Genomic DNA, 12809 nt, shown 5'->3' with positions numbered 1-12809 from the left:
GCTGAGTTTCCAAGGGTTAATAATTAAGCAGATGGGAAGGGGATTTGGTGAGGGGGGAGAGAATTGAGGGATTCTGATGAGAACCGTCTTTTAATCACATTACATTGGTAAACCAGCTGTTTTTTCCTTGAATTTCTAATACTGCTATCAGACTTCCCCCATGAATGCTCAAAGGTGCACATGAACAAGAGATTTGTAGCCCCACCCTATTCCTGCTCTCAAAGGCCCTCTGTCCGTCCTCACCTTTCTAGGCCTCTGCAGTTTTCACTCTAGAGTTCCCTTCTCATCATTGCTCTTCTGTGGTAGAGCCAAGGTTTCTAGCCAAGACCAGCCGTTTCTCTGATCTTTCTTGAAAGTTAATCAGTTAACTTTGTTCGAGCCTAATCACTGGAGCCCCCATGTGGAAACATTTTAAGTGCTCATGACTGCCATGGGGGCTGGAGCTGCTCTTCCCCATGGCCTTCCCGCTCTCTCTGCGGCTTCTGTACCTACGTTCTTCTTGAGAAGTTTGTCTTTCCCCCAACCTGGATACAGGCCTTTCTTTGCACACTGAAAGGCTCATTAATACTTGAGGTCAGGGGTTGCCAGACGTGCTTTTGGGGCTAGACAGTAAATCTTTGCAGGTGATCCAGTCTCTATCACAACTATTCAACTCTGCTTGAGTCAAAGCCACCACAGACAATGTGAAAACAAGTGCGCTGAGCAGGAGACAGAGTTTAATCTGCAGTCTTCTTTGAGAGAAGGTTCTCACTGCCACTGCCCACCTCCCAGACTAGATACGAAATCTGCACTACCAGGTATTGAAACCTCCCTGGCCCTTGAGATCTGAATATAATTTGCCTCCAACTCCTATTTCCATAGTCTGGGTAACTCCAAAACTCTGAGACTTCTATGATTTCCTAAAAGCTTACGTTATCACAGCACTGCCTGCCTTCAAGTTCAGTTCCATACAACTGAGATGTGAATCTCAGCCCCTTCTATGCTGCTCCGAGGCTCCTCAAACACATCCCACCTTACCCTCCTTCTCATCTGGCAGCAGCTCCCAGCTCACCTTCCCCAGCTGCCCTCGCTTGCCCCACCCCCTCCCCTCCTTTCCTGTGACTGCCAACCTGCTGCCCCACGGCACGCCCAGCAGTTCAGCTCCCTTCAAGTGTTCTCAGCCCTCAGTTCTGCCAGCGGTTATCAAGGGAGAACTCCAAATAAAGGCAATTTCTTCAACTAGAGTTTGGGTGCCAAGAACATTAAATCTTTATCTCGTTATGCCTGGTCCTGTGGAGACTGTGTGTCGAGCAGTTGACAGGAAGTCAGGGACTGAGCAGTGTCAGCAGTGGCAATGTGGTCTTTTGAAGACTGAGAACTGTGGGTTTCTGCCTTCATGAAGGATGCTAGGTGCTAACTACAGCAAACATGGCTTATCATTATATTTGTGAACCTCGAACATTTGAGACAGGTCTCAGCTAATTTAGAAAGTTTATTTTGCCAAGGTTGAGGACACGCTCCCATGACACAGTCTCAGGAGGTCCTGACAACATGTACTCAGGGTGGTCGGGGCACATCTTGGTTTTATACATTTTAGGGAGACATGAGACATTAATCAATATATGTAAGAAGTACATTGGTTCCATCCAGAAAGGCGGGGACAACTCAAAGCAAGGAGGGAGCTTCCAGGGCACTGGTAGAGGAGAGACAAATGGTTGCATTTTTTTGAGTTTCTGATAAGCTTTTCCAAAGGAGGCAGTCAGATATGCATCTACCTCAGTGAGCAGAGGGATGACTTTGAATAGAATGGGAGCTAGGTTTGCCCTGAGTAGTTTCCAGTTTGAATTTTCCTTTCGCTTAGTGATTTTAGGGGTCCAAGATATTTTCCTTTCACATATATGATGCACATCCTTGGTGATATCTAGAAAAAGGGGACAGCTGGGAATATTGCTGAGGTCTAGCAAACAAGCTGCTAGGAGCTGGAAGTTGGAAATGTGTATAGTAAATGTTAAATACAAGCTTTTGAAGCCAGCAGTATGTGTTAATACCTTTTATCTTGAAAGTTAACAATTCATGTCCTCTATTTCTCTGTTGGGTTCTTAATGTTCCTGCTGAATTGTGTGTACTCTGCCTGCACACTTTTGCCTCCACTGCTGCAACAATCTCATTTCTTTCTACATGCTCAACTTCATCCTGCATGCTAGACTCAAGCTAGAATTAGTCAGATTAAACTGTGATCTGATTGTATTGTCTTACCCAACAACATGACTCCCTGCTCCCACACATCACCCTTGACCCATCAGAGCCTTTGCTTTCACTGAACAGGCTCTGTGTGTTCTCACTGCTGTTTCCCACCTGGCCCTGTACATATGTTCTTTACCATGCTGCCCAAGCAGTGCTTTTGGGTAGAAATCTTCATGGAACTGTACTTAGAGAATTTTTCATTAATCCTACACCAAAGGAAACAATTTTACTTTAAGCAAAATGTGCAATGCTTCAAAGTCTGTTGAAATTATTTCAAATTTTAAAAATTACAAGATAAAAAATGTGTTTTTCCTTTGGTCTAAATTTCATGAAATATATGTGAAATAGGAGCAGATAGGATCACTTGAGACAGGTAGATTTGAACTGAATCAACAGACGTTCAAGGCCAGAAGGTGGCACACTTTTCCTATTTTAAGTAGCTGCACATACTCGCTTTAAGGGTTCCCCAATATAAGATTCAAAAAACAAGATGCCAAAAAAGCTTAGCATGCCAACTTTCTGCAGAGGTTTGAGGTTTTCTGCAATGCATACACTAAGGAAAAACAGTGTTGAAATGGTTTGAAGATCTGCGGTGAAGTCAATTTCTTAAGAAATGGTTGAGGTAATACCTCAACCTAGCTGGGTTATAAATGCATGGGAATGAGGTCTAAACATTCATTTGGGAAATTTTCTGACATTTCCTATTAAATAGGTTCACATGGAATAGAGATCACTGACCCAGGGACTGTCTAAATTTATGCCTGTTTAGGTTTCTTTTTTTTTTTTTTTTTAGACAGAGTCTTACTCTGTCGCCCAGGCTGGAGTGCAATGGCACGATCTCAGCTCACTGCAACTTCCACCTCACGGGTTCAAGTGATTCTCCTGCCTCAGCCTCCCAAGTAGCTGGAATTACAGGCACCCGCCACCACGCCCAGCTAATTTTTTGTATTTTTAGTAGAGACGGGGTTTCACCATGTTGGTCAGACTGGCCACAAACTCCTGACCTCAGATGATCCACCCACCTCGGCCTCCCAAAGTTCTGGGATTACAGGCGTGAGCCACTGCGCCCAGCCTAGGTTTCTTAATTTTCTGTTAAACTTTGTATAATGTGGACTGGATTAATTCCACCAGTGATTTCCTACCTATCATACAAATGGAAGGAAAGATTTCATTATGTGCTGCTACCAGATAAGTGATGCATAGGTACAGGAAGCGAAGTGAAAACAGGTGAAAGAGAAAGGGAAGGACAGACAGAGAAAGAGGAAGAAAGCCACCAGGTGTTGAAGAAAGGTGGGCCAAGTCGAAACAAGAAGGCTGGGTCTGAGAACTCCATGTTGGAGATGTGGGCAGCATCTGAGGGGGCAGATCAGAGTCCTGCCAGGTTCTGCTGTGATCTGGTACAAAGTTATTCTGGGTGATCCTCTGTACTGGGGAGGAGTGTGGAGGTTTTCCCCTAGAGTGTCCATACCCTACTCTGTCCTGACAAGAGCAGGGTGCTTTCTCTTTAGTCATATAACCTTTTTAAATCTGCACTGTCCAGGGAGGCCCTGACAATCTGCAGAGAAGATGCTGGGTTCAAACTGACATTAAACCATAGTTCTTTATTAATATTAAATTGCTATTATAATTTGAATATCAGCAGAGGGACACTGTTGGCATTGTTTTTGTTCTCTGAGGACATTCTGGTCTATGGGAATAGAACAGTCTGTACGAGGATATAGGTGACATAAATACCATTTGTTAAGTGATGATCTTAAACTGTAATAGTGAAAAAATGTTTGTGGGTACATAGTAGGTGTATATAGGGGGTATATGAGATATTTTGATATAGGCATGTAATGTGTAATAATCACATCAGGGTAAATGTGTTTTAACATTTATCATTAATAATGTGAAGTAACAGTATCTGTTACTTCAAGCATTTATCCTTTGTGTTACAAACAATCCAATTATACTTTTTTTTTTTTTTTGAGATGGAGTCTTGCTCTGTCGCCCAGGCTGGAGTACAATGGTGCGAGCTCGGCTCACTGCAACCTCGTCTCCTGGGTTCAAGCGATTCTCCTGCCTCAGCCTCCTGAGTAGCTGGGATTACAGGCGTGCACCACCACACCCGACTAATTTTTGTATTTTTAGTAGAGATGGGGTTTCACCATGTTGGTCAGGCTGGTCTCAAACTCCTGACCTCTAGTGACGCGCCTGCCTTGGCCTCCCAAAGTGCTGGGATTACAGGCTTCAGCCACTGCGCCTGGCCCAATTATACTCTTAAAATGTACAATTAAATTATTTTTGATTATAGTTACCCTTTTTTGCTAGCAAATACTACATCTTATTCATTCATTTTTTTTGCCCACCTCCCACACCCTACCCCCTAACTACCCTTCCCAGCCTCTGGTAACTATCCTTCTACTCTCTTATCTCCATGAGTTCAATTATTTTAATTTCTAGTTCCCACAAATAAGTAAGAACATCTGAAGTTTGTCTTGCTGTGCCTGGCCTATTTTACTTAACATAATGGCCTCCAGTTCCATCCATGTTGTTGCAAATGACAGGATCTCATTCTTTTTTATTGCTGAATAGTACTCTACTGCATTTATGTACCACATTTTCTCTGTGAATTCATCTAAGTGTTGATGGACACTTAGGTTGCTTCCAAACCTTGGGTATTGTGAATAGTGCTGCAATAAATGTAAAAGTGCAGGTATCTCTTCAATATACTTATGAGAGGTGACAGCATGCTGGCAGTCCTCAGAGCCCTCGCTTGCTCTTGGCACCTCCCCTGCCTGGGCTCTCACTTTGGTGGCATTTGAGGAGCCCTTCAGCCCCCCCACTGCACTGTGGGAGCCCCTTTTTGGGCTGGCCCAGGCTGGAGCCCACTCCCTCAGCTTGCAGGGAGGTGTGGAGGGAGAGGCACCAGCGGGAACCGGGGCTGCGTGCGGCGCTTGCGGGCCAGCTGGAGTTCCGGGTGGGCGTGGGCTTGGTGGGCCCCGCCCTCGGAGCAGCCTGCTGGCCCCGGGCAATGGGGGACTTAGCACCCGGGCCAGTGGCTGCGGAGGGTGTACTGAGTCCCCCAGCAGTGCCAGCCCACCGGCGCTGCGCTTGATTTCTCGCCCGGCCTTAGCTGCCTTCCCGCAGGGCAGGGCTCGGGACCTGCAGCCCGCCATGCCTGAGCCTCCCACCCACTCCATGGGCTCCTGTGCGGCCCGAGCCTCCCCGACGAGCACCACCCCCTACTCCACGGTGCCCAGTCCCATCGACCACCCAAGGGCTGAGGAATGGGAGCGCACGGCGCAGGACTGGCAGGCAGCTCCACCTGCAGCCCCGGTGCGGGATCCACTAGGTGAAGCCAGCTGGGCTCCTGAGTCGGGTGGGGACGTGGAGAGTCTTTATATCTAGCTCAGGGATTGTAAATACACCAATCAGCCCCGTGTTTAGCTCAAGGTTTATGAGTGCACCAATCGACACTCTGTATCTAGCTGCTCTGGTGAGGACGTGGAGAACTTTTATGTCTAGTTCAGGGATTGTAAATACACCAATCGGCACTCTGTATCTAGCTCAAGGTTTGTAAACACACCAATCAGCACCCTGTGTTTAGCTCAAGGTTTGTGAATGCACCAATCAACACTCTGTATCTAGCTGCTCTGGTGGGGCTCTGGAAAACCTGTGTGTGGAAACTCCCTATCTAACTAATCTGATGGGGACGTGGTGAACCTTTGTATCTAGCTCAGGGATTGCAAACACACCAATCAGTGCCCTAACAGGCCACTCAGCTTTACCAATCAGCAGGATGTGGGTGGGGCCAGATAAGAGAATAAAAGCAGGCTGCCTGAGTCAGCAGTGGCAACCCCCTCGGGTCCCCTTCCACACTGTGGAAGCTTTGTTCTTTTGCTCTTTACAATAAATCTTGCTACTGCTCACTCTTTGGGTCCACACTACTTTTATGAGCTGTAACACTGACTGCAAAGATCTACAGCTTCACTCCTAAGCCCAGCAAGACCACAAGCCCACCAAAAGAAACAAACAACTCCAGACGTACTGCCTTAAAAACTGTAGCACTCACCACAAAGGTCTACAACTTCACTCCTAAGCCAACAAAACCACAAACCCACCAAAAGGAAAAAACTCCAAACACATCGAAACATCAAAAGGGACAAACTCCAGACACGCCACCTTAAGTGCTGTAACACTCACCGCGAGGGTCCACGGCTTCATTCTTAAAGTCAGTAAAACCAAAAACCCACCAATTCCGGACACACTTATTTCCTTTCTTTTGGGTATATGCTAATAGTGGCACATTTAATAAGCATCTGTATGTCCAACACTAGAAATTAGTATATGTGTGTAGATGCTATACGAAGGCAAATTTTGGCTTGATGGACCACCGAGTGCCTAGAAAGTAGCATACTCTTAACAATAATGCCCGTGTCTTTCATCACAACCCAGTAAGAGTGTTGGTGTTATGCCCATCCTAGATTAGAAAATAGGTTCAGGCCAGGCGCATGGGCTCACACCTGCAATCCTAGCACTTTGGGAGGCCAAAGTGGGAGGATCACTTGAGCTCAGGAGTTTGAGGCCAGGTTCAGAGGGGAGTTTGTATTCAGACTCAGGTTTGTCTCACCCAAAGCCCAGGTCCATGCCACTGCATGGGCTGCCCAAGGGTTCAAAGAGAAATCCGCCACTGGGGGCGTTCAAATCTGTCCCATGCTCCCTGGTAATAAATAAATAAACCCTCAGGGATAAGTTATTTTGGTTCTTTCATTTCACCTTGGCACAATTTTCTGATGGAATCTTAACTGATATTTTAAAAGATAAAGAACATCTAAACTTTTAATATATGATTTTTATTGAACATGTTCACCTTTACATTATTACAAACATTTTACAAATAAAAAGTTTTTGTAAAAAAAAAAAAAAAAGGAAACATTTCCTGAATTATCACTGGATAGTTGAAACAAAGAAATAAAATATATAAATATGAAGGTCATTCTCCAAGTATTAGAACAGAATACGGATGGAATCACTTCAGTAAAGTTATTCATAAACATTTGCATGGTTACCCACATACTGTATCACCTTCCAAAAAATCAAACACATGAGAGGAAGGGGAACCTCAAATGAGATGTCTTTTCTCCATGGGATTTGGTCAACGCATATCAGTAAGATAATTTCTTTGCTATATACACAACATAAACATTTGAAAATGCAGAATACATTGTGTAAATTAAAAATTTTGTCAGCTTTGTTGTATGGGGAGTAACTACACAGACCACCCACACAAACATTTAAAATATACTGTGTATATATTATCTTACAAAAATCGCATGTGTAAGGGAATAAGGCCTTTATTTCCAGAGCATCTTAACATAGGATTAATATGGGTATATTCATCTTTTATATTTTAGACTTCAAATTCTTTAACATCTCAGCTATTAACATTATGCGTAGTACCTAAGACAACATGAGTAGTGGCATAACACAATTTCAACTACAGTGCTTGGTTGCATTCACATGACGTACCATCTAGAACTGACCAAACAGAATTTCAGAACTGCCCAATTTAAAGACCTGTTAAGAAAATAAAATGCAACCCCGTCATATGAGCCCAGTTTGTCTCTCAGAGCGTTGCTATATATACTGGAAGCCTGACACTTCAGAGTATGTACTTAAATGAAGTATTTGGTAATAATGTCAGCTTCAGCCTGCAAAGTGTTCTAGTCAGCATAGAAATCTGAAAGTCTAAAATTACTTCTGTATGTTAATTAAAACTAACTGCTGTTTGAATTTGAGTATGTTTTGTCTGGAGGCTAGTTGGAGATTTTTTTCTCCCTTCTAGCAACAAATTGGCTAAGTGGTCAACCTCTGTGGCTCACAGTTTTGTAAAAAAAGCATACAGAAAAGAAACTAGGCTGGGCACAGTGGCTCATGCCTGTGGTCCTAGCACTTTGGGAGGCCAAGGTGGGAGGCTCATTTGAGCCTGGGAGTTGGGAGGCTGTAGTGAGCAACGATTGCGCCACTACACTCCAGCCTAGGTGACCGAGCAAGACACTGTCTCTCTTAAAAAAGGAAGAAAAAAAAGTAAAAAAGAAAAAAATCTGGAATTTGGATATTATTCTGATAGTGTTAAGCTGGAATGGGAGGAGTGGTGGAGTTTAGGATTCTTGGTCAAGACTTTTTCAAGATCATAAGCACTAATCCACATTAGCTGTTGGTATAAGCAGCCTTCAAAAACACCACAAAGGGGAGTCAACAATTCGAGTGTAAACTGATGGCTCAGGGCCTTCTCTGCCCTTTACTAGCCTTCATGATCTGTCGGGTCTCAGCAGCTCAGGGCACAGGAGGAGGTGGGTCTCCTGACTGGCCTGTGCATTCTCCCAAACAAGATGTTTAAGACTCTTCTTTATCTCGTCACAAATACACAGCTTTGAAATACCATTAGTCTTTTTCTCTAGGATATAATTAGAAAAAGCCAGGCATGGAGATAGAAAAGACATAATTAGAAAAAGTATTGTATACATCTGCAAATTCTTCAACACTGGGTGATTTGAAATTTGACTTTAATATTTAAAAATAAATTTATTAATAATCTAAATTTTCAAGTCAAATTTTCTAAACTCAAAACATAAACAGAAGTGAACTTGTTATTTAATAAACAGATTTTTTCAACAGCTATATGGTTAAGATGTTCTTAACCATGCTCTCAGAAAAGGACAATCAGAAAGTAAGGCAGACACTTAGGCAACCCTTAGCGAGTATTTTGAAAGGACTGCACTGAAATTTGAACACAAAGTGTGCCAATGGAACACAAAATAGAAAATGGATCCAGACTTTTGCTGACTACAGAAGACATAGACATTAGTTCTTTTTTCTTCCTTATCAGTGTTTCTATTTATTAAAATATTTGTTATATTTACTACTACATAAATCAAGGTGTATCTGATGGCTGCTAAGATTATAAAGGCATGATTTTTATGCTTTTCAAAATCTCTCTACTTTTTAAAAAGAATTCTGTACCATTTAAAATACTGAGAACCAGTCTTGTATAGAGAGGTGTCGGACCAAGGGCAGCCAAGGATGAGTAAGATGGGCATCACCCTGATTGCAGCACCTCTTACGTGTCTGATGAATGTCCTCACTGAACCCCACTTACAATCTAGTTTTATCATTTTCAAAACTGCAAAATCATTTGCACAGCACCAATAAAAATATAGCCTAGAAATAATATTTTGAAAATAGAAAAATATGTTTTTAAAAAATGTCATAATAAATATCTCTCTAAATAATATCTTCATATCTCTATAAAAAACTTTCTTTGATTTTTCCCATAATATATAATGAACGGATCAGTTCACATGAAGACATAATGCAAGTCTTTACCACTTAAGTCCCTTGGTTAGGCTAAAATGTTCAGGTCAATGTTTTATTCTTAAAAATAAATCTTAAAAAATAAAAAGTATAACTCAGAACATTCTCTCTCTCAGAGTCTCTCTACATTCAAAATATAAAACAGGGTATCATTTTTTAAAAACTTCCAGAATCTCTTTGTTGGAATAGTATTGGATTAATGCAGAATACTCAATCCTTGAAATATAAAAAACAGCAACATAAGTTCTAATATTAACTATTCAAAATTTTCCAAACCTTTAAATTTGGATATTAAAATAATATAATTTCCTCCTTATTTTTGCCAACGTGAAAACACCTAGACCAAAGTCATTCTATTCTGACATATTGTCTTTCTTGGATATGACTTTGAAAGTAAGAATTGGGGAATTACTGGTTATACAGATTCTACATTTTTCTTCACTAATAGTGATTCCAAGAAAGTTTAGATCTTTCCACATGGAAACCGTCATGTAAGAACAGAAAAACTCTAAGGTTTATCTGCTGTGCTGCTCAACTGGATCCAGACCAGGTATTCTTATTTTAAAAGCTATATTTGATAGATGTTATATTCTACTCTTGCTTCAAAACAAATCACTTTCGACACAGTGGGGAAGAAAACAGTACCTACAGAGAGCTAAAATGGAAACCTAGTAGTCTGCATCAGTCATGGCAAGCAGCTGTCATGCTGCTACCCACCACCACTTCGGAAAACTGTTAGCCTCAGATAAGTCTGAATTTACATAGAAAAGGCTTCTCTGTTTCTGACCATATTACAATTCTCCTCTTTTTCTACATTTTGACTCCTGAAACCAGCAGATCTTAATATTCAATGAGTTAAGATAGCTCTTCTGTTAGGGTGCCCAACACAGTAAGTGTTAAACTTATTTTGAGTCTTTTATGTAGTGCTTGGGGGTGGTTCTGCAGCTCATCTAATATTAATGACAATTAACAATATATACTGCATAACGGCATTACATCCATTCACGTATCTCTGACTTAAATGCACTTGTTATTTCATTTATGACTGATACACTGAGAATTATGAATAAGCACATCACATGTTTAAATTGTAGTCTAACATTTTCCCAAAGCATGAACACCCACACTTTATACAATGCTGTAGGTAGTGTAATAGGGAAGATTTCCAGAACAGGAATTACAACTATCTTGACAAAATCTATAGGGTTTAAGTTATATTCATGTACTGTCTCTCAAACTAAAAAAACCAAACCATAGAGCCCAAATCTATTGAGCCTCTTGATCACAGATTTTTACACTTGAATCCTAAAATGATACTCCGATGTATATAATGCTGTTTTCTCCGCTGGGGTGTTCTGAAAGAAAAAGCAGGCTTTTCATTATGATGTGCAGTGACCACAGAAGCCAGGTGCTTCCAAGGCACACAGTGGCACAGTGCCTGGAGACTGCCATGTAGATGTTCCCCTTTGGTGGCTGGTACAGGATGGCGGTGGGTCCTTCCAGAGAAGAAACCAGCATTGGCTTTCCTCTTGATAGTTGAGGTTCATTTTCTATTAAGTGCTTGAATAAAATGCCTTGATACATCAACTACTCACATCTTAAATCCACAAGGAAATGTTTTCACCGACTTGACTTCTAGCGTTTGATCACAACTTGTTCATAAGCTCCAGACCCCACCCTAAAACAGCAGTGGAAAAAAACTTCAAAATTTTGAGCTGCAGTGTTTGAAACTGTTCCAAGTAACCTTACCCCTGGAGAGATGGGGCACTGGGTATTTTTCTACTAGATTTGATTTCCATAACGTTTAAAGGCATCACGGATAGAAACTATGTGAAATATTAAATGTTTATCATTAATACATTGGATTAGCCTAGATCCTGATTCTCTCACACTTATTCCCACAATAATCTATTAGAATTCCCCAATTCTTGACCTATCGACAAATGGTGGCAAGAAATGCTCTTCAAACATGTTTATCTATTCATTCTAAAATAGGTCTCATCCAAGAGCATATGTTGACTCTGGCAGTGCATCAGGACTTGCACTGAGTTAATGATGATGGTCTTCAGCTGTCATAATATTGTGGCGTTTTCATGGCAGGGTCTCATTCTGTTGCCCAGATGGAAGTGCAGTGGCATGACTGAAGCTCACTGCAACCAGAACTCCTGGGCTCAAGCAATCCTCCTAACTCAGCCTTCCAAAGTGCTGGATTACAGGCATGAGCCACCACGCCTGGCCCATTACTGCCTGAAGTTATCACCAGGTACCCATTTCCCAATTTGTCAAGATGTTAGGGTATACCCTACTACTTGTCATTTTACCATGAGTGTGCCTGAGTTTAGTAAGCCCAGAAGCAACCACCATGACTAGTGTCTCTCCTTAATGGCATTTTAAGAGGAAATTCTAAACAACAGAAGTAAGGTAGTGATTACTAGCCCACCATGGACTTGGCTGGACTTCTCAGTTGATTGCCCAGAAACTCCTGTTCTCACAGATTCATTCTACAGAAGAAATAGGAACTTCCTCAACAGAATGCCAGTGAGCACCCATTCATCCTACAGAAAATCAGAATTTGAAGAAACCATGGTGGGCAGCATGGCACACTGGCTTTTAGATGCCCTTTTAAATATGTTCTGCCTCTGGCCATGATGAAGTAACAGGAACCAGATTTTCCCTCCTGCCTTATATAATTAGAAAACCGGATAGAATAAGTGAAATGACAGTTTGCACATACTAGACAACAGGCAGTGCAGGACTGTGGTCCCAAGAAACAAGAAATAAATGAAGAGAGCCCGACAACCGCCCCAGCTAGCTGCCTGAAGCAGTTTCCTTCAGGATCTTCCGAGCCTGCAGTGCAGAGAGGAAGACCCCAAACACAGCCTGCTGGTCTCTCTGAGTGAAGGAGTCAGAGATCAAAGCTCAGAGGGGCTAGGGACTAGAATTTGTAGATCAGAATAACAGAAGGAGGGGTTGGGGAAAATAATGGCTGGAGAATTCCAGATTTGATGAAAACTGTAAACCCATAGATCCAAAAAGCTTGATGAACCCCAGGCAGAATAAACACAAGGAAAAACATATTCAAGGCACATCATAGCCAAAGTGCTAAAAACCAGTAATAAACAGAAAATCTTAAAAGCAGCCAGATATAAAAGACAAATCACATACAGAAGAATAAAATAAAAATACAGGCAGACTTCTTGTCAGAAAAAATTTAACGTCCCTAAAGG

General features: G+C 42.0%; 1 protein-coding gene across 1 annotated transcript in view, besides 1 other annotated feature; it reads right to left on the bottom strand.

Annotated features, from left to right (window-relative positions):
- Positions 3630-3830: a silencer, noted in NCBI's record as "peak351 fragment used in MPRA reporter construct". NCBI's record gives its function as "represses an SCP1 promoter by STARR-seq MPRAs in K562 erythroleukemia cells {active_cell/tissue: K562}" and the evidence as "EXISTENCE:reporter gene assay evidence [ECO:0000049][PMID:32103011]".
- EEIG2 (EEIG family member 2) overlaps positions 7046-12809 on the bottom strand; it is a 79223-nt gene continuing 73459 nt past the window's right edge. Inside the window, exon 11 of the mRNA NM_001010883.3 lies at positions 7046-11260. Within this exon, the coding sequence (NP_001010883.2) occupies positions 11218-11260 (43 nt within the window). The 3' untranslated portion in view covers positions 7046-11217. The remainder of the gene's footprint in view (positions 11261-12809) is intronic.

The sequence above is a fragment of the Homo sapiens genome, chromosome 1 (assembly GCF_000001405.40).
Source record: "Homo sapiens chromosome 1, GRCh38.p14 Primary Assembly".
Taxonomy (NCBI): Eukaryota; Metazoa; Chordata; class Mammalia; order Primates; family Hominidae; genus Homo; species Homo sapiens.
This window is presented reverse-complemented; position numbering and strand designations above follow the sequence as displayed.